This window comes from Homo sapiens, chromosome 8 (genome assembly GCF_000001405.40).
Source record: "Homo sapiens chromosome 8, GRCh38.p14 Primary Assembly".
Classification (NCBI taxonomy): Eukaryota; Metazoa; Chordata; class Mammalia; order Primates; family Hominidae; genus Homo; species Homo sapiens.
The window spans coordinates 91,719,206-91,741,969 of NC_000008.11; the positions used below are offsets into that span (position 1 = coordinate 91,719,206).

Consider the following 22,764-nt stretch of genomic DNA (forward strand, 5'->3'; position numbering starts at 1 on the left):
CTAAATACAGAATATGTAATTACTCCTACAGGATTAAAAGAAAATTACAGCTGTGCCCTAGGTAAAACTTTTAGAAACATTTGATTGTACAACTGACTGAATCTAATCATCAAAATAGGATGCAGCTCTAAATTGCATAATCTCTATTTAGTTATTAATAAGCAATATTAATGTCTTCTGTAGAATAACAACACAAAACCAAAATAGCTAAATGAAAAGAAAAAAAGCAATTATCTACATGTTTGAATCCATATGTTATATCTTATGAGTCAGAAATCTACACATCTTAACCTCATGTAGATAACACTTGCCCATAAATTTTAAGTGTCATCTTTCCGCCTCCTCCCTGTTTTGGTCTTTACCTGACATGCATTTCCAGGAATATTCTAGTTTATAGATTTCTGAACTCTGGTATGTATGCACCTGAGATTATCATTCTTAATATTGTTGGTCCATGGTATCACTCTTCATGAAAATCTGTTCTCCCGTCATGGTAATATTTAAAGATTTTCTCTTTTTTAAAAAGTGTGTTTTAATTGTGCTGACAAAAAGAGTAAAACTCTGTAAAATATTTAAAGTGGTTCATTCTGAGCCAAATGTGAGTGACCAAGGCCCAAGGCGCAGTCTCAAGAGGTTCCAAGAACATATGCCTAAAGTGATTGGGTTACAGCTTGGTTTTGCGTTGTAGGGAGACACAATACATGTAAGATATGCAGTGGTTCAGTCCAGAAAGGTGGGACAGCTCAAATTGGGGGTCTTAACGGTCATTGGTAGATTCAAAAGTTTTCTGACTGGCCATTAGTTGATAGTTATTATTTAAAGACCTAGAATCAATAGAAAGGAGTGTCTGGATTAAGATAAGGGGTTGTGGAGACCAAGGTTCTTCTTATGTAGAATTGGTGGTAAATGCCTCTTTATCAGGCATTAAAATGTTTCAGCCTCCTAGTTAAATCTATCCTGAAAAGGGGAGGGGATTCTCTACAGAATGAAGATATTCCCCACAAGGGACAGCTTTACAGGACCATTTAAAAATATGTCAAAGAAATATAGTTTGGGGTAAAAATACTTCAGTTTCTTTCATGGGCTGCTGTCAAGTGATGCTATATTAAAGTCAGGTTGGAATTTGGTATCACATAGCTACAAAGTGTCTGTTTTGTCAGTCTTAAGATCTCTATTTTAATGTTAATGGTGATCTGTTGTGCCTAAATTCCAAAGGGAGGAGGGTAGAATGGGGCATGTCCAAAACCCTCTTCCCATCATGGACTGAACTAGTTTTTCAGGTTTTCTTTGGAATCCCCTTTGCCCAGAGAAGGGGGTAGATTCTGTTGATTGGAGGGCTTAGAATTTTTTTTTTTTTTTTTTGAGACAGAGTCTTGCTCTGTTGCCCAGGCTGGAGTGCAGTGGCACGATCAATCTCCGCTCACTGCAAGCTCCGCCTCCCGGGTTCACATCATTCTCCTGTCTCAGCCTCCCAAGTAGCTGGGACCACAGGCACCCGCCACCACACCCAGCTAATTTCTTTTGTATTTTTAGTAGAGATGGGGTTTCACCATGTTAGCCAGGATGGTCTCGATCTCCTGACCTTGTGATCCACCCACCTAAGCCTCCCAAAGTGCCGGGATTACAGGTGTGAGCCACCGCGCCCGGCCAGAATTTTATGTTTAGTTTACAACTGGCTTGAGGTAGATTATGTCAATTTTTCCTTGATTTGGGGTAATGTTCTTCCCATAAATATCCTCCTAATAATCCCTTCCACGTGGAGGCAGCTTCATTCTCCTGTTTATTTTGGTACCTCCCAGTCATCTCCCTTGGGTAGGAGATATGACATATTTGATTAGTATGTTTGAGCGATTAATCAGGGTTGCATGTCTCAACATTTGCTGCCCACTTTTTCTTTGGGCAATAGCTGCCTACAGGAAGCAAGTTTTCTCCTACAATCTAGAAACACAGAGAAGGCTCCTGTTGGAGGACACCAAGAGTTGTCAATGCTCCCTGTGCCTGGAAGACTATGTCTAGTAGTTTATATTAGGTTGGTGCAAAATAATTGCAGTTTTTCCCGTAAACAAATGGCAAAAACTGGCTGGGCATGGTGGCTCATGCCTGTAATCCTAGCACTTTGGGAGGCTAAGGCAGGTGGATCACCTGAGGTCAGGAGTTCGAGACCAGCCTGACCAACATGAAGAAACCCAGTCTCTACTAAAAATACAAAATTAGCTGGGTGTGATGGTGCATGCCTGTAATCCCAGCTACTTGGGAGGCTGAGGCAGGAGAATCACTTGAACCTGGGAGGTGGAGGTTGCAGCGAGCCGAGATCGCACCATCGTACTCCAGCCTGGGCAAAGAGAGCGAAACTCCGTCTCAAAAAAAAAAAGCAAAAACCGTACTTGCTTTTTCACCAACCTAATATTATAAAGCCTACTATTGCCACAAACCTAAATCACATTATCCAATATCAGCTTTATGAGCAATGAGGGCTCTTCATCTGATATGTTTCTATCTTATCTTTCAAATAATTCAGAAAGTAGGCAGGAAAAGGGGATGTTATAATTTATTTATTCTCCTCAAGATTCCATTTCTGAACCCTCAATTCATTTTTGTTTGTTTCATGGTTGTTTTGAAACTGCCTTTGCAAAAGTTCTAACAGTGAGAAAATTATGACAGTGAAAGAGATCTGACCTAACAAACTTCATCTTCCCTCTAACTCCAAATTGCCCTTCATCATTCCTGGGTGAGGGCCTAGCTAACTTTAGGAAAAATGTAGTTTATAATTTAAATAACAATAGCCCTTCTAAAAACTAAATTGCCTTTATAAATTAAGAAAAGGCCACATGTTTAGAATTTTGAGAGGAGCCTGAATTTTGATAAGATGTAGGCATAAACAACAGCCATTTTTGCAGAAGTCACTAGATTTGTAAATTCCCCAATTATTTCTATAACATCATTATTATAGAACCTAAGAGTGGCCTTTTAAGGTGCCTATTCAGACTTTTGCATTACCGAGGACCAAATGACTCCTCTGGGACCCAAGACAAGACTCAACCAGTCCTGTGGCCCTACCTGGAATCAGACTCAGTGCACAAGGACCATTTTCTATACCCCTATGATTGTATCCTCAACCAATCAGCAGCACCCATTCCCTAGCCCCTGCCTTCCAAACCATCTTTAAAACACCCTAGCCTCCAAATTTTCAGGGATGCTGATTTGAGTAATAATAAAAGTTTGGTCTTCCGTTTAGTGGGCCCTCTATTACACTTTTTCTCTATTGCAATTTCCCTGTCTTGATAGACTGAGTGTATCTGAGCAGTGGTCAAGATGAACCCGTCAGGCGGTTACATTTTCAGCAAGAGGGAAGAGGGACTCAAGAAAGTACTTTTTCCACCAAGTAGATTTTAAAAGTTCCAGAAATGTAGGAAAGTTCTAAAAGCATAAGGATCATGACTGGGGGGAAAAATAGATATTCACTTTTAGTGTCAAATTCATTCGTGTCATAGAATTTGATTTTAGGACAATAGTACCTTTCTTAAATGAACCAATATAAAAATATTTATTAAGCAACTGCTACACATTATTATATTTGTAAAGTTAATTTGCTATTTAAGTACAAGGGTTCCAATGGTATTTGGTAAAGCCTGTTTTCACTAGGAATTCATTTCATCTCTTAAAAACTCCATCAAATATTTTAACAATTAAATATACACTGATTATGAATTTTTCATTAAATCCCATTAGGAAAATTACCATATTTCTTAATAAGAAAATGTATTTTGGTTACAAAAGCTAAAAGGTTAGTTCTTCTCTGATGCAATGAACCCAGGAACTTGACTTGAAAGGCCAGAGAGCGTCACAGAGGGAGACTGCCAGCCACTCCGTGCATATTTATGGACTTGTTGTTCTGGTGGTAAGTACTCTCCTGACAGCCAGTGCTAAATCTAATCAATCATCCCTTAAATACATCATAGTGTAGATTCACCTCACTCCTTCATTAGCATTCATTAGCAATTAATCAACACAGCAGGAGTCTCTAGAAAGTTCAACAATCCATAAGGTACATTTACATTAAAGATGAGCAAACATGAGGAGAGATAAAAAGAATCAGGAGATGAGCTGTGTCAAATCTGTGGTGGAAAACTAAATTTTGATGTGATCTTCCAAAAACAAAAATCAACAGAATTTGGTTATTCAGCCTAAGACTTAAACTCTTGATTAACAAGCAGTAGCCTGCGTAACTCTATTACAGTTGTCACAGACAGATTTATGCTCCCATCAGCCTGCTGAGTACATTTGTTCCACTTCAAGTAAGCCTTATGTATTGTCATTATATCTTCAAAAGGAACGAAAAGACGTTGTATCCAATTTTTTGCAATTGTGGGCAATAGCTTAATTCAGTCCTTAACTGTGTTCTTGCCGAGAGTTGAGAGTTATAATGGAAACCTATTTCCCTGCAGGATGAAAAGGAGTCCTGCTGTGGCTTATAATACCCTGAACCCATGGCTGAGAGCTGTATTGTGCCCACTGAAGTGTCTCTCTTTAAAAGGAGAGCCATAGGGAGGGGTGTCCTTCACTGGTCAGAGCACCGGCATAGGCTCAAGAATCATGGAGTCCTCTCCTGCCTAACCTCACTGAATTCCTCCAAGCCTTGAGCCAAACTATCTTCCGTTTTCCTGTCAGATAGAAAGATATTTCTTGAGGGTGAAAAAATAATAATACAAAGAAGTATTTTGCCCACAATTATTTTAATGCTTTGGTTTAATTATTCCAATTTATCATCTGATTTTAAAGTAATTCAAAATCATTATGCTCAAATGAGAAATATATAATGGCTAGATGATTTCTCAGCTTCAAAATATTAACTGACAAATATATGTTTAAAGATATATGCCATAAAAATGGCAACAAATGGCGACTATTGGAGCCATCTTGAGCTAATTTAAATAATGCCAATTTGGAATATTAATGTTAAATGATAACTGATAGATGTTAAACATGTGATACATTTAATTTTAGACATACAGAAGTGTACATGATTGTAACAGTGTTACAAACAATATTCGTTTGGTCCACATAGGTTGAAATCTTTGACTCAGACCATGTATTGGAACCATTTTTTTTCCCAAACAAATACTTCAAACTTCAATATAATCCAAACACCCTGCATTGGTAAACTTATCTCAGCATGTGTGAGCAACGAATTGCTACCAATGGGATTGCTTTATTTTGGGAGTCGTAAATGGCTCTGAAAGATTTCGGTCTCATACTGCAGTGGAAATAAAGATCTATATATTTTTTTTCTTTTCTCTTTAAAGAAAATTTTACAAATGTCACAGTTTGTTGGATTGGTCCAGTCTGGTTCTCCATGGCTATAATTCAAAAGAAGAGTGAAGTAGCTTGCAGCCCAGCATGGCTCATCATTTGATTTTCAGAATAGACTTCCAAACTCTTCTCAACCACTACCACCTCAATTCTTGTTGAGTTTATCTGGATGTTTTCTAAAAGACTAAATTCTGGATTTATTTATTTATTTTTATTAGTCTTTAAAATGTCAACTTTTCTTTCAGATTCAGGGGGTACATGTGCATGTTTGTACCTGGGTATATTGTATGATGCTGAGGTTTGGGGTTTTTAAAGTTTTATCTCAATAATTTCTCCTCAATTTTTTTTTTCAAATCCCTTTTGAAAAGGGTTCATTTTAGGGGCCAAGCTCATTTCTAGTGCACATTTCAGAAGCTGATAGAGTTATGCTTAGAAATGCTTTGTCTCATCCTGCTTCTCCATTTTATCCCAGCTATCTACTGTAACAGAAGAAAACAATACAATCTAGATAGGAAACTGAATTAGCTGATAAAAGCATTAAATTAGAGGCATGTTAAGATACTACTCAGGCATGAAGACTCTACAGTGCTCCACTTAAGTCCAGCAGCAACTCAGATCCTCATCACCTGAGTCTCTGACTGCAGCCATCAGCAGTGACTGACAGGTTCACATCAGGAGGCATCAAACCTTCATACATTTTTAACTACCCCAAATGATCCTAATGGAGAATTTAAAACAATTTGGGAATTCAATATTAGGGAAATGCATTCAAATGCAAGATCAGACAAACATATTAGCCAATATTCAAAGTATTAATGGACCTTAGAATTAAGTCTGTCCAGTTGAAGATAATTCATAAGGCCTTCTGGACACCAGGGATGGTCTTTAGGGTGGGGGTGGAGAGGACACATTCAGGAAATGGTAATAAAAGGTGAACAAGATGGGGGAAGGGGATGGAGGTCAGCACCACTGTGATAGATACAGACAGAGAAGTGATTGGTTATATATCTATCTTTTGTTTTTCAGACAGACTGAATGGTGCATTATATCACTTTTCAGCCATTCAGTTAGATAAGTTAGCATTTTCAGTCTCATAAAGTCATGAGATTAAAACACATTTTTTAAAAAAGATTTTACGTAATCACCAAATTCACATTAATAAAGCAAGGAGCTGCCATATTACTCCAGAGATAAATATTCCTAAGACAGAGATGCTGCCCATTCTTATTTCTAAGGAAACTTATGAAAGAGAGAAAGCAAATTGCCCAGATCAGTATGATTTTAGGCACATTATCTACTATCTCTGCTTTAGTTTTCTAATATATAAAACAAAGTCAATAATGGTACCAACCTCCCCAGGTTGTTATGAGGGCTATGGGATCCTTTTTTTTTTTTTCTTTTTTTTGAGGTAGTCTTGCTCTGTAGCCAAGGCTGGAGTGCAGTAGCATGATCATGGCTCACTGCAGCCTCAAACTCATGAGTTCAAGCAATCCTCCTGCCTCAGCCTCCTGAGAAGTTGAGACTACAGGAACATACCTCCATACTGGCTAATTTTGTATTTTTTGCAGAGATGGGGTCTCAGATTTTGAGAGATGTTGCTCAGGCTGTTTTTGAACTCCTGGGCTCAAGTGAGCCTTCCACCTAAGCCTGCCAAAGTGTTGGGATTACAGACATGAGCTCACTGTGCCCAGCTGTGATTCAATTTTGTAAAAGCCTTAAAAGAAGTCCAGCTTTACAGTAAGCATGGTACATGTATTGCTGCTGTTGCTACCGCTATTAAGGTCTCAAGACTTGAAATTTCTCAAGTGAAATATAATAAAGATATTTTCTGGAAAAAAAGGTTTAGAACATACTGGAAACTCTTAAAAGTTTTTAGACAGAAGATTACTTTTATCTCTTTAGATTATTGATACTTATTCCTAAGTGAAGACATGGGAATGGCTTCTTATTTTCCTGATCCCTGTGTTTCTATGAGGCACAAAAAGGAGAAGTTGTGAAGTGTAAAAATGAGGAAGCTAATTCCACCCTCCTGGAAATGTCACCCCTATGAAAACTATTAACAGGCTTCTCCATGAGACATGCATGCAAGCAGGTGGTCTGGCATAGTGGAGAGAATGTGGACATGTGCTCCCACCTTCTGGCTTCTGTGAGTGTGGGGAAGCAGCCCCACTTCTTTCAGAATTAGCTTTTTTATTTTAAAAAGAAGTTTTCCTGAGAATTAAATGTTATTATATGTATTAATTTTGTGCTTTAATATCTGGTTCATTAAATGGTAGCTATTAATTTATTATCATTGTATCTACCAAAAATACATTAAGCAAAGAGACCAGAGGCAAGATTCAGGAAAAAATTCAGGAACACCTTGATAAACTCTTAGTTACAATGTACATAGAAGTAGTTCCAGTTTTTTATTTGATAAAAGAAATATAGAAGGACTATTCTTATATTCACGGTTTTCAGTGTTTTAAAGCACACAGATGAGTTTATCAAAGCAATGGATTGCATGAGCTCCTCACTCCAACTTTCTGGGTAAGAGGACTTTGGAAGAGAGCAACACATCTAATAAGCCTGTGATAAAGCATGTTACAAGGAAAATATTGTTGTACCAGAATTTAAACTATAGGTATTTCTCTTTTTTTTTTTCCAAGTTCATGTGACTTAAGTAAATCTTTATTTTTATTTATTTTTATTTATTATTACTATACTTTAAGTTTTAGGGTACATGTGCACAATGTGCAGGTTAGTTACATATGTATACATGTGCCATGCTGGTGTGCTGCACCCACTAACTCGTCATCTAGCATTAGGTATATCTCCTGATGCTATCCCTCCCCCCTCCCACCACCCCACAACAGTCCCCAGAGTGTGATGTTGCCCTTCCTGTGTCCACGTGTTCTCATTGTTCAATTCCCACCTATGAGTGAGAATATGCGGTGTTTGGTTTTTTGTTCTTGTGATAGTTTACTGAGAATGATGATTTCCAATTTCATCCATGTCCCTACAAAGGACATGAACTCATCATTTTTTATGGCTGTATAGTATTCCATGGTGTATATGTGCCACATTTTCTTAATCCAGTCTATCATTGTTGGACATTTGGGTTAGTTCCAAGTCTTTGCTATTGTGAATAATGCCGTGATAAACATATATGTGCATGTGTCTTTATAGCAGCATGATTTATAGTCCTTTTGATAGACCGCTAGCAAGACTAATAAAGAAAAAAAGACAGAAGAATCAAATAGACACAATAAAAAATGATAAAGGGGATATCACCACCGATCCTACAGAAATATAAACTACCATCAGAGAATACCACAAACACCTCTATGCAAATAAACTAGAAAATCTAGAAGAAATGGATAAATTCCTCAACACATACACTCTCCCAAGACTAAACCAGGAAGAAGTTGAATCTCTGAATAGACCAATAACAGGAGCTGAAATTGTGGCAATAATCAATAGCTTACCAGCCAAAAACAGTCCAGGACGAGATGGATTCACAGCCGAATTCTACCAGAGGTACAAGGAGGAACTGATACCATTCCTTCTGAAACTATTCCAATCAATAGAAAAAGAAGGAATCCTCCCTAACTCATTTTATGAGGCCAGCATCATCCTGATACCAAAGCCGGGCAGAGACACAACCAAAAAAGAGAATTTTAGACCAATATCCTTGATGAACATTGATGCAAAAATCCTCAATAAAATACTGGCAAACCGAATCTAGCAGCACATCAAAAAGCTTATCCACCATGATCAAGTGGGATTCATCCCAGAGATGCAAGGCTGGTTCAATATACGCAAATGAATAAATGTAATCCAGCATATAAACAGAACCAAAGACAAAAACCACATGATTATCTCAATAGATGCAGAAAAGGCCTTTGACAAAATTCAACAACCATTCATGCGAAAAACTCTCAATAAATTAGGTATTGATGGGACGTATCTCAAAATAATAAGAGCTATCTATGACAAACCTACAGCCAATATCATACTGAATGGGCAAAAACTGGAAGCATTCCCTTTGAAAACTGGCAAAAGACAGGGATGCCCTCTCTCACCACTCCTATTCAACATAGTGTTGGAAGTTCTGGCCAGGGCAATTAGGCAGGAGAAGGAAATAAAGGGTATTCAATTAGGAAAAAAGGAAGTCAAATTGTCCCTGTTTGCAGACGACATGATTGTATATCTAGAAAACCCCATTGTCTCAGCCCAAAATCTCCTTCAGCTGATAAGCAACTTCAGCAAAGTCTCAGGATACAAAATCAATGTACAAAAATCACAAGCATTCTTATACACCAACAACAGACAGAGAGCCAAATCATGAGTGAACTCCCATTCACAATTGCTTCAAAGAGAATAAAACACCTAGGAATCCAACTTACAAGGGATGTGAAGGACCTATTCAAGGAGAACTACAAACCACTGCTCAAGGAAATAAAAGAGGATACAAACAAATGGAAGAACATTCCATGCTCATGGGTAGGAAGAATCCATATCGTGAAAATGGCCATCCTGCCCAAGGTAATTTACAGATTCAATGCCATCCCCATCAAGCTACTAATGACTTTCTTCACAGAATTGGAAAAAACTACTTTAAAGTTCATATGGAACCAAAAAAGAGCCCGCATCGCCAAGTCAATCCTGAGCCAAAAGAACAAAGCTGGAGGCATCACGCTACCTGACTTCAAACTATACTACAAGGCTACAGTAACCAAAACAGCATGGTACTGGTAACAAAACAGAGATATAGATCAAGGGAACAGAACAGAGCCCTCAGAAATAACGCTGCATATCTACAACTATCTGATCTTTGACAAACCTGAGAGAAACAAGCAATGGGGAAAGGATTCCCTATTTAATAAATGGTGCTGGGAAAACTGGCTAGCCATATGTAGAAAGCTGAAACTGGATCCCTTCCTTACACCTTATACAAAAATCAATTCAAGATGGATTAAAGACTTAAATGTTAGACCTAAAACCATAAAAACCCTAGAAGAAAACCTAGACATTACCATTCAGGACATAGGCATGGGCAAGGACTTCATGTCTAAAACACCAAAAGCAATGGCAACAGAAGGCAAAATTGACAAATGGGATCTAAGTAAACTAAAGAGCTTCTGCACAGCAAAAGAAACTACCGTCAGAGTGAACAGGCAACCTACAACATGGGAGAAAATTTTCGCAACCTACTCATCTGACAAAGGGCTAATATCCAGAATCTACAGTGAACTCAAACAAATTTACAAGAAAAGAACAAACAACCCCATCAAAAAGTGGGCGAAGGACATGAAAAGACACTTCTCAAAAGAAGACATTTATGCAGCCAAAAGACATATGAAAAAATGCTCACCATCACTGGCCATCAGAGAAATGCAAATCAAAACCACAATGAGATACCATCTCACACCAGTTAGAATGGCGATCATTAAAAAGTCAGGAAACAACAGGTGCTGGAGAGGATGTGGAGAAATAGGAACACTTTTACACTGTTGGTGGGACTGTAAACAAGTTCAACCATTGTGGAAGTCAGTGTGGCGATTCCTCAGGGATCAAGATCTGGAAATACCATTTGACCCAGCCATCCCATTACTGGGTATATACCCAAAGAACTATAGGTATTTCTATACTATGAAATTAAATGCTAGAAGAGTTTGCTAATAGACTATTTGGAGTTCTGTGGGCCACAAATTGTGACTCAAGAGTGAGGACTCTTTTAACTAAGTATCCACTCATGCATCATACCAGGAGAAGCAGAAAATATAAAAAATATAATTGTCCTTTCCTATTTCTGGGAAAGTGTCATAATTGATACTGGAGAATGGAGAAGAGAACATTCTTCAAAAATGACAGCTCTGAAAGTTCAAACGAGTTCAGCTTTTAGGATAGGACAGGCACACATGAATATGAGTTCAATTACAGGTCACAAAATCAGACAAAGAAGGGATATCACCATCAGAACATGTCTCAAACTTAGTGGAAAATCCAAGTGGATAAAGAATATAGAAGGCTAGGGTAATAAAAACAACCAATGAATTTCCAAAACCAAAAGAAGAAGGACAGGAAAGCAGATGGCAGTGTCAAAACTTAAAGACTAATGTGAAGCCTGAACTTCAGGGACAGGATGCAGTCACTAGAAGCAAGAGATGTTGGGTACTTGCTCCTCAGATAATTCACCAGCTAAAATACAGGGAAGAGTAAGAGAAAAAATAAGTCACTGGAGAACCAGAGTGTAGGGTAGAAACCTGCCTCCACAGAGATGGCATATAAGAAGGAAGGACTTGGCCGGGCGTGGTGGCTCATGCCTGTAATCCCAGCATTTTGGGAGGCCGAGGCGGGCAGATTACCTGAGGTCGGGAGTTTCAGACCAGCTTGACCAACATGGAGGAACCCCATCTCTACTAAAAATACACAATTAGCAGGGCATGGTGGCACATGTCTGTAACCCCAGCTACTTGCAAGGCTGAGGCAGGAGAATCGCTTGAACCCGGGAGGCAGAAGTTGCGGTGAGCCTAGATTGCACATTGCACTCCAGCCTGGGCAACAAGAGCGAAACTCCATCTCAAAAAAAAAAAAAAAAAGAAGGACTTAAGATGTAAAGCAATCACAGAAGGATTAGAAGATTAAGCAAGGGCCCAATTTCCAGAGAATAGGGTACCAGTTTCTTGTTAGAAGCAGCAGCCAATCCTACTGAACCTAAATCACTGTACCACCCACCCAGAGCTCCTTCTGTCTATGCCCAAGACTAGAGACAAGACTAGTTCCAGAGTCTTAGATAAAGGAGAATCTTATGGATAACAAATGTACCCCAACTGTTAAGTTTAGGGATGGAGTGTCTAGCTGAAGGATCCATTCCATATATGATTTAGCAGCCTCAGCTCAGCTACTTCCTTTGTTTACTTGACTTCTTGGTATGTGACATTCACCTGACCTGGCTATCAATTTTCATGTAAATGCTCTGGGTTTAGTGAAATCAGAATTACTCAAGCTAGAGCTATAAGGATATTTAAAATAAAAAAGAAGTCAGGGATTCAGCTATTTTCCAGAAGCTGACATACTGCCCACTTTGGACTGAAAAATCCTTACTGATGCTCCTGCATGCTCAAGTGCCCTGCTAGGTCTCAGTGGTCATAAGTCATTTGGTTGATCTTAATTTTTACAGAAAAAAAAAAAGAGATAAAAGCACTTTGCAGATAAAATCTTAAAAATCATTTTGGGAAAGCGAATCCTTTCTGAATCCTTCACATGCAAGTTAGAAATGAGAAAAAAATAAATTAGAGTTATAAATAGAATAAGAGCTTGGAAATAAAGAGAAACTCCCATGAAAGGGAAATAACAAAAGGAATATGAGAGCTCTCCTGTCTCTGTTCTTAGTCATTGTGTTTGCTGATTGTTAAACTATAATTTTTAAATGTAAATTATGACACCAGGCAACTGTGAAATAAACACATCAAAGATTGATTTAATTTAGAAATTAATAAGGGAACTAATAAGATGTTAAATCTGGTCAAAATTTTTTAGAAGGTAGTATATATAGGCAATTTAACAAAGAAATTTTTAGATATGATTGCAATGTTAGATATAAAACTGATTAGTGCCCAACCAGGCCAAACACTGCAACATTTTTGGTAGTTTCACTGGACAGGCCTTATTTGCATGTCAAATGAAAAAACAAAGACTCTACAAGTTAATCTCTGTTCTTCATGCTGAAAATTGCCCAGCCAAGAGAAAGTCAAGCCAAGTACTGTAATGAAAGAATACTCAGTAACCTCATTTGCCTATTTCTAAATTTTGAATAATTTTATGGCACTACTCTCACTATATGCCATACACGCTAACTTCTTTAAAAAAAAGAAAATCCATGTATATTTTAAGCAGATGTTTTTACTAATAGCATGACAATAACTTATTTGCTGTCAGTGTAAAGATGTTAATAGGATGTTCTGGTACAGAATATCCATTTTCCCTAAAGTTCTGAGTCATTGTTTTGTTGAAAATACTAGACTTTTGCTGAGCAATTTATTTAGAAGGCAAATCAATTTCATGAGTGGAACTCATGAAATCATATTTTTCCTATAATCAAAGGTTGGTCTCCACTAATTCAAAACTGGAAAAAAATGTTAAACATTTCACAGTGAATAATAATCACAGTTTAAGTAAGGATTTAAGTGTTATTTATAGTTTTATGTGCATAAACATGTAGGCTAAAACTGGATCTTTGCTTTATAAAGTAAGAGATATACCCAAATTAAAATACTTGTGGTTATTAATTACTTTGGAATGGCAAGATATAGTATCATGAGAAATGAATACTATACCTGCTGAGAATATTAAATTTCTCTATTAACATTAGTCACATAAAGAAATTATTAACCAGACAGGTTTAATTTTAGTTATATCTTATGATAGAGAAAAAATTGGTTAACTGATAGTTGTAAAGTATCATACTTCTTAGAAATGTTTTTCATATTTTGTTTTTAATGAGACCAGTTTAGCGCTAATGAATATTAATCAGAGTCATAAAACTAATTTTTATATAATCCAGCCTCAAATACACACAGACTTGCCTGATTTTAGTTTAGGGAATCCAGGAATAATGCCTGATGCATGTTGCATGTAAAAGTAATTTGGGAAGGTTGTATCTTAAACATTAACTATAAGCAGGGTCTGGCTATTCTCAAATATAGAAACCGAATTAGCCCTGACACAGTCACAAGAAAGAGTTCGAAACCACAATTGGGAGCAATGGCATTCGCATGGCCATCTGATACCTATTTACATGTGTCCTTTTCACTGCACAGATTCTGATGCTACAAAGAATGTGAAGGCAGTGGTAAGTATATTCATCGAGATTTATTTTGATAAAAAATTTTCCTAAAACTAGTACATTGTGATTCAATTTACAAAATTCAGCTTACTCAGAATTACTAATTATCACATTTATTTCCCATAGCCAAGTTATCAGAACATTTGTGTAGGTTCCATGTAAAAAGGAGTCAATAAACTGACTTGATAAGCTTCAGAAATAACTTAACATCAAGGTTTAAATTATAATGACATTAGTTTTTGAAGTATCTATTGAACTTTAAAGACAAATCCATAAACAGCAAACAGAAAATTTAACTTTTTAATCTCATGAAGGTATCCTTACTAATTGCAATGTTTTCACTCTCTAAATAATTTTTAAATAATTTTTCAGCTTCCTGCTTGACTCTTTATTGTAAGCTCCAAATGAAAATTTTCTTTACACTTGATCCTTGGACTTGGCAAATTGTTTCACTTTGTGTATGAATCTTGATGCACTGTCACAGACTTATGGCTACCCATTAGCTCCAGGAACAAACATGAAAAAACTATTTACCCTCAAGATGTTTATATTCAAAGAGGCCCCATATCCTGTGAACTTTATGGTTTTCTCAATGTGTTATCTTGCTTCTTGTTATATTAAATGAGAGTCTAGCAATTAAACCACCATGGGATACTATTTTTTTGCTATATGTCAGTGTGTTAGGAAGCCTCCCAATACTGGTTTATGTATTTCATGCTGGGTAGAGGAAAAGTGAAAACCCCAATTTTGAAGGGCTGCATCTGGTGCATGTACTTGAACTTTGTGATGGAGCATGTGTTCCCAACTATATCAATTCCAGATTTTCCGGTTTGCTAGAAGCTGCATGAAAATGTAAATTGCATAGTCCCCTGTAACCACTCTACAAATAAATGCCAACTATGCGTATTGGTCAGAAATGCGAAAAAGGGCATGATAATCTAGGTTTTCATACCCATCATGAATTGTATAGGTATCATCATGTTTAGCCGTCTTCCTCAAATGTCTCATTAGGATAACTCCTACCCCCTTGAAAGATCTAGAGCAAATTACAATTATCTGGGGCATTCTCAAATGAGAATGAGTCCCAAGGCCTTTGACTTTCAAGATATGGTGCCAAGTACAGGCCTAGAAATAAGCAATGGGTGTGAAAGAGGAGAGTCCTCTCTGGAGTCCTTGTGCCTACTCTTTGGTATATGCTTTCTTAGGTAATGATGCAATTCAGTCCAACAAAACAGGCTGCAGCATACTTGTGGGTTCTGGCATAGCATATTAGAGCCACTTTTTTTTTGAGACAGAGTCTCACTGTCGCCCAGGCTGGAATGCAGTAGCACAATCTCAGCTCACTGCAACCTCCGCATCCTAGGTTCAAGCGATTCTTGTGCCTCAGCCGCCCAAGTAGCTGGCATTACAGGTGTGCACGACCATTCCCAGCTAATTTTTTGTACTTTTAGTAGAGATTGGGTCTCACCATGTTTTCCAGGCTGGTCTCGAACTCCTGGGCTCAGGCAATCCACCCACCCCAGCCTCCCAAAGTGCTAGGATTACAGGCATGAGCCTTCGCACCCGGCCTAGAGCCACATTTGACTTCTTGAGTTTGCATTTGAAGTTTTCTTAGTTCATTTCTTCATCACTATACTCCAGGCACCTAGAACAATGTGTGCACATAAAATCATTCAATAAATGGTTATGAAGTGAATGAATGAATGAATGCGACAAGACACATGAACCAATTAGAAAATAAGAAGAGCCAATTTAAAATATATTTCTGGTCTGAATACAATCTACGAGTTACACACACAGACACATACAAGAACAAGCGAGAACATCACAATTTAATAGCGTTAAAGGAAAAGCTTCAATCAATGTACAAAAATCACAAACATTCTTATACACCAATAACAGACAAACAGAGAGCCAAATCATGAGTGAACTCCCATTCACAATTGCTTCAAAGAGAATAAAATACCTAGGAATCCAACTTACAAGGGACGTGAAGGACCTCTTCAAGGAGAACTGCAAACCACTCCTCAATGAAATAAAAGAGGATACAAAGAAATGGAAGAACATTCCATGCTCATGGGTAGGAAGAATCAATATCATGAAAATGGCCATACTGTCCAAGGTAATTTACAGATTCAATGCCATCTCCATCAAGCTACCAATGACTTTCTTCACAGAATTGGAAAAAACTACTTTAAGGTTCATATGGAACCAAAAAAGAGTCCGCCTCTCCAAGTCAATCCGAAGCCAAAAGAACAAAGCTGGAGGCATCACGCTACCTGACTTCAAACTATATTACAAGGCTACAGTAACCAAAACAGCATGGTACTGGTAACAAAACAGAGATATAGATCAATGGAACAGAACAGAGCCCTCAGAAATAACGCCACATATCTACAACTATCTGATCTTTGACAAACCTGAGAAAAACAAGCAATGGGGAAAGGATTCCCTATTTAATAAATGGTGCTGGGAAAACTGGCTAGCCATATGTAGAAAGCTGAAACTGGATCCCTTCCTTACACCTTATACAAAAATTAATTCAAGATGGATTAAAGACTTAAACGTTAGACCTAAAACCATAAAAACCCTAGAAGAAAACCTAGGCATTACCATTCAGGACATAGGCATGGGCAAGGACTTCATGTCTAAAACACCAAAAGCAATGGCAACAGAAGCCAAAATTGACAATTGGGATCTAATTAAACAAAGAGCTTCTGCACAGCAAAAGAAACTACCATCGGAGTGAAGAGGCAACCTAGAAAATGGGAGAAAATTTTTGCAACCTACTCATCTGACAAAGGGCTAATATCCATCATCTACAATGAACTCAAACAAATTTACAAGAAAAAAACAACCCCATCAAAAAGTGGGCAAACGATATGAACAGACGCTTCTCAAAAGAAGACATTTATGCAGCCAAAAAACACATGAAAAAATGCTCACCATCACTGGCCATCAGAGAAATGCAAATCAAAACCACAATGAGATACCATCTCACACCAGTTAGAATGGCAATCATTAAAAAGTCAGGAAACAACAGGTGCTGGAGAGGATGTGGAGAAATAGGAACACTTTTACACTGTTGGTGGGACTGTAAACTAGTTCAACCATTGTGGAAGTCAGTGTGGCGATTCCTCAGGGATCTAGATCTAGAAATGCCATTTGACCCAGGCATCCCATTACTGGATATATACCCAAAGGACTATAAATCATGCTGCTATAAAGACACATGCACATGTATATTTATTGAGGCACTATTCACAATAGCAAAGACTTGGAACCAACCCAAATGTCCAACAATGATAGACTGGATTAAGAAAATGTGGCACATATACACCATGGAATACTATGCAGCCATAAAAAATGATGAATTCATGTCCTTTGTAGGGACATGGATGAAATAGGAAATCATCATTCTCAGTAAACTATCGCAAGGACAAAAAACCAAACACCGCATGTTCTCACTCATAGGTGGGAACTGAACAATGAGAACACATGGACACAGGAAGGGCAACATCACACATCAGGGACTGTTGTGGGGTGGGGGGAGGGGGGAGGGATAGCATTAGGAGATATACCTAATGCTAAATGACGAGTTAATGGGTGCAGCACACCAACATGGCACATGTATACATATGTAACTAACCTGCACAATGTGCACATGTACCCTAAAACTTAAAGTATAATAATAATAAAATTTTTTAAAAAAAGGAAAAGCTTCATGAAGAAAGCATGATTTGCAATGGACTGGGTTGACTGATAAAGGAGAAAGAAGTGGGGAGGCTCTGGAACGTAAATGGGGAGACTCTTCATTATAAGTGGCTCTATGGAGCATGCTTCATTTATAGTCACTGAACTTTGCGAGTTTCATAAAAATTCCATAAAATTCAACTATTGTAAAGCCTGAAATGCAATATGAAGCCTTATTTAGAGATTGCCCACTTTGTTTTCTTTTAAATACTAGTCACTGTTATTTATTATTGTATTTTGCTTATGAATTCCTTCAATTAAATATTTCTTAAACACCTACAGTATAGGAGAATCTGTGCTAAAAGCCAAAGATTCAAATAAAATACCATCCCTGTCCTTAAATATCTCACAGTCTCATGGGGGATGACTGACAAGTGAGCAGAATGTTACACAGTGTTATAAACAACATGAGAACACTCTGAGGTCACATCTCTTCACTCCTCACAAAGGCCAAAGAGCTCTCATTTCATTTCTTTTATGAGATCAATTTCTTTCTTTCTTTTTCTTTTCTTTTTTTTTTTAAGTGACAGTATCTCACTCTGTCACCCTGGCTGGAGTGTAGTGGTGAGAACATAGCTCACTGCAGCCTCCAACTCCCGTGCTCAAGTGATCCTCTTGCCTCAGCCTCCCGAGTAGCTGGGGTTACAGGAGTGAACTATAAGATTAATTTCTATGGGGGTTGATGTGTAGCTTATTTTATTAAAGAGATAATCTTTAGGCAGTAGATAAAATTTTATTTTTCCATCTTTTCTGAGTTTGCAGCTAACATAGTGTTATTAATTCAATAGACTAGCATATTCAAGATATAAGAAGAAATGGATGAGTATTGAAGGCCATTCATCCATAAACTGTTTTCTTTTCAATAAACTCTTCATAATCTTCCACTATTAGCTACTCAAGAAGTGAGAAATCTCAATTCATTCTGTCTAAATGTCTTTGATTTGGCAAGACTGTTAAATTATGATTAGGGTAAGAGAATCTAACTTTTCAAGAGCATTTAAACAGCTCTTAATGTTTTTTAAAGTCTCTGTTTCTTCTTTGGTTAAACTTATTGTGGATTGGAGATAATGAATACAACACACCTGGCCCATAGACAGCCTTCAGTTTAAATGAGACATTATTAAGTAATAAGTAGTCTGACTTGGAACTTACTTCTCTGCTCTGTTGGAGATGCAGATGTGAGGAGAAATCATAAACTGCCTATTCCTCTTCCTCTGACCTCTGAGATGGTGGTAGGCTGGAACACTGCTGTCATTTCTTGTCATTTATTGATCAGTTACTTTGTGCCAAACTCTTTACATACATTATCTCCTTCAATTCCCAGACAACCCTTTAAGATAAGAATTATTATCCCTATTATACCTTAGAGAAAATGAAATAGAAGCTCATAGAGTTTAATTAACTTGCCAAAGTCCCCAGAGATAGTAAACGACAGAGCAGGGTTCAGTCCCAAGTGTTTCATGCCCCTAAACCCTGCCTACTACTGCTTTCTGAACCTGTGAGTTCCTAACGGCTTTCTGGATAAACAGAGAGACACAGCTCAAGACTTTTGTATTCTTTTTCTACCCAACTTGATCCCATTTAATTTGATGCATACAATTAAAGAGATCTTCTGTAGAATTTTAATTTAGAAGGACAAGAAAGCCAGTTCAAATTCTGTGCAGTAAGAAGCCTACACCACCGAGACTATGATGTAAGACATGGCGATGCTTCACTAGGACAGACGAGTGACTGGAGCTTTCAGAGAAGGAGCTATTGGTGTGCCTTGCTTGCTACGACTCCCAGAGGCAGAGGTCATATAAGCGGTACATGATGGGCATGCCATACTCCTTGGGGTAGACTTTGGTTGTTGCCATCCCAAACCATTCTCCCTCTTACCTTATTAACTAAAACTAGATCTTGTTCGGGGTGTGTTAAATGTATTCATCTCAGCTAGGGAGATGTAAACAGCAGTCTACTGGGTGAAGCTTTGGGAAAAGCCATTGTTTTCCTGATGAAAGATGACAGCCTTAGCTATACTTCTTTCTGCCTTTTGCTCTTTCATTTTTCTATCTGAAATGTAGATGTGATGCTTAGAGAAAGAACAATTGTTTTGTGACTGTGAGTAGCAAATTTTTCAGTAAAGCTGACAGAGCAGGGAGTTACCAGAAATGTGGGTCCTTATTTAATTGCTTGAGCAGATACACCAGCCTGGAATTGTTTATTTCCAAAAGTGAAAAACTCAATTCTCATTTCGATAGGCAGTTCTAGTAATGTTTATATTACATGTACTTCCAAATTATTTAGTTCCTGATCTTATTCTTACTTCAATACCTGTATTTGTTGTCAGTTGTGACCTAGGGAAAAAGTTAAAAATTTTCCTTATTAGAGTGAATCTTAGCTATTGCCTTCACTCATGAGCACACACAACTATAGGTCTCTAGCTTCCTCTTAAATATCACATGGCAAGGCTTTGGACAAATAAGCTGAACTTTTAAAATTTAATTTTCCTCCCATTTAGAATGAAATTAGTCATTCTTATGGGTATTCTACCCAAAGGCCTCATGTGAGAATGAGTTAAAAATATGGAAAGTCATACTTGAAGAATGGGACTATTTCCATATAAAATACAATCATTAGTAATGCATTAATAGTTTGCTCTGATTACTGCCTGCTATTTTAAATTTGTTAAAGACTCTTCCAATATGAAAAATGTTATGAACATTTTAATGAATTATGAGTAAAAGTCCTCCAGAACATGGCATTACTTTTTTGTAATGAATATGAATGCAATCAGTGGGTTTCTGTAGACACCAGAATTAAGCAGAATTAGACCAAAAAGAAAAAAAAAAGATTAGTTCTAGAAGTAAGATAAAATAGAAAGACAGCAAGAATGAGAAAAAGGAGAGAAATAGAGACAGGCAAAGGGCAGGATAGGATTTTTAAGAAGGAAGAATTTTCCCAAATACAGGATTAAAGTTATTAATTAAGAATAGATCTCATTAAAGTGAACATAATTACCCTATGAATAATGTTATCACAAATATGATAGCAACACTTGAATAATTGTCCGAATAAAGTATTTTAAAACCACTAAGTATCTTTTGCAGAGAAATTTAAGCAAGAAAATGAATATAAAAACCACAAAGGGATAACTTGCCAGTGAATGCAACTAAAATTTCATAAAACCCCAGCTCTCATTCATCTAAATTTAGGGACCTCTATATTTTGCACATTGATGCTCAATAAATATTAGATATTTTTGGGTTTTTTACATTGAAAAATACTTGCTCCAAATCAGTGAGTAATTATAAATGAGTTTTAATGATAACAAGAAAAGTTAGGAATAAAAAAATGCTACATAAATGCTTTCTTATTAATATTTTTGAAGACTATCACAGAGCGAAAACTTTTTAAATAATAATTGCTATAGAACAGTCAAGAATATGCAAAAAACTACATTCCTGACCTTAAAATATGAAATAAAACTTTGAATTTCTGCTTTTAAATGACCAGTAGATTTGCAAAACCTGTGATCACATGAATGTCAGTTTGGCAGAATGGTCATAAATAATAGTTGATGATAAATGACAGTGTTCAGGGTGTGGAGCGATCTCTTGTGGAGGGCCACAGGGGTTGGCGTAAAGCTCTTGTCTTCTCTAACATCTGGATTATTGATGGTTAGCATTAATGATCTGAAAGACAGAGCACACAGCAAGCTAATAAAATTTGCAGATGTTACAAATTTGGAAGCTGTTGCACACACCAGGAGACTAAGAATTAATACAAATGGATCTAATGAGATTACAAATACAGAAAGAAAAGAGGAAAATTAGATTCCATTTAGAAAAGTGCAACTAATCAATCTTGGGGGAGGTAATCAGAAACATGTTCACTCAGCAGGTCTGAGGACAAACCTGGGAAGTAATCAATTTAAACAAAATGCAAAGCACAATAATAAGGCTGCTGGGATCAGTGAAAGAGTATTTCTCCAAGATCATTCAGCAATTCCATACATGAGCCTGTCTTGGTCAGAATTGCCCATGGAGGCAGTAGGTCTAAGGGGAGAGGCCTGAAAGCAGGGACTATGAGGATAAAAGCTGAGAAGATCCCTGGTGCAATGGCTGCACCAACAGCCACTTCCAAGTTCTGGATGGAGCAGCCGCATGCTCAGCCACTTGCTCCAGTATTAAAAGAATGGGCACCAAAACTTGTATCAACCTAACATGCCTAACCTAGGCCCATTAAGGTTCATGGTCCCATGCAGCTATTTTTCTGGTGCCAAAGGAACTGAGGACTTTAACAAGGGTAGGGCTATCAAATAGTCTCAGTATTACCCAAAGGTATACATATAGCCTAAGGGAAAGCATCCCAGCTAAAAAACACAGACCCTTGGTATCCACTCCATCAGTTATGAGCTATGTAACTTTAGGAAAATGATTTGCCTTGCTCTAAGTTATAATATTTAGCTTTCATATTTTTAACTGCTCTGAGCTTCAGTTTTCTCCTTTGCAAAATGGGTATAATAACATCTTCTCAGAGTTGTGAAGCAAAAGGAAAAATGCCTATAAAGTTATTGACACAGTCAATACTATCAATTACTATCACTACAGATTATTTTATGCAGTTATAGTCCTGAAGGAATCTGGTTGTTTTTTTTTTTTTACAAGACTATGAAGTTCTTTGAAGGCAAAATGCTAATTGGAAGTCCTTGATCAGTTATTTTGAGGATATATTGGTTAAAATTTAAATCATTGCAGCCCACGGAAAAACAGATTTACACTAGAGATTGTCATAGTCAAACTAGAGGCTTTCACCAGGCCACAATGTGCAATGATGCAATGATTACAATGGCAATTGGAAAATCAAATCATCCTGGCCAGCATGTCCTT

General features: G+C 37.4%; 3 annotated features.

The window, feature by feature from the left end:
• Window positions 740–1,447: an enhancer, noted in NCBI's record as "OCT4-NANOG hESC enhancer chr8:92732173-92732880 (GRCh37/hg19 assembly coordinates)". NCBI's record gives its function as "activates a minimal SCP1, AML or CMV promoter by ChIP-STARR-seq in primed H9 embryonic stem cells {active_cell/tissue: H9 hESC(primed)}" and the evidence as "EXISTENCE:reporter gene assay evidence [ECO:0000049][PMID:30033119]".
• Window positions 3,716–4,217: an enhancer, noted in NCBI's record as "NANOG hESC enhancer chr8:92735149-92735650 (GRCh37/hg19 assembly coordinates)". NCBI's record gives its function as "activates a minimal SCP1, AML or CMV promoter by ChIP-STARR-seq in primed H9 embryonic stem cells {active_cell/tissue: H9 hESC(primed)}" and the evidence as "EXISTENCE:reporter gene assay evidence [ECO:0000049][PMID:30033119]".
• Window positions 4,270–4,771: an enhancer, noted in NCBI's record as "NANOG hESC enhancer chr8:92735703-92736204 (GRCh37/hg19 assembly coordinates)". NCBI's record gives its function as "activates a minimal SCP1, AML or CMV promoter by ChIP-STARR-seq in primed H9 embryonic stem cells {active_cell/tissue: H9 hESC(primed)}" and the evidence as "EXISTENCE:reporter gene assay evidence [ECO:0000049][PMID:30033119]".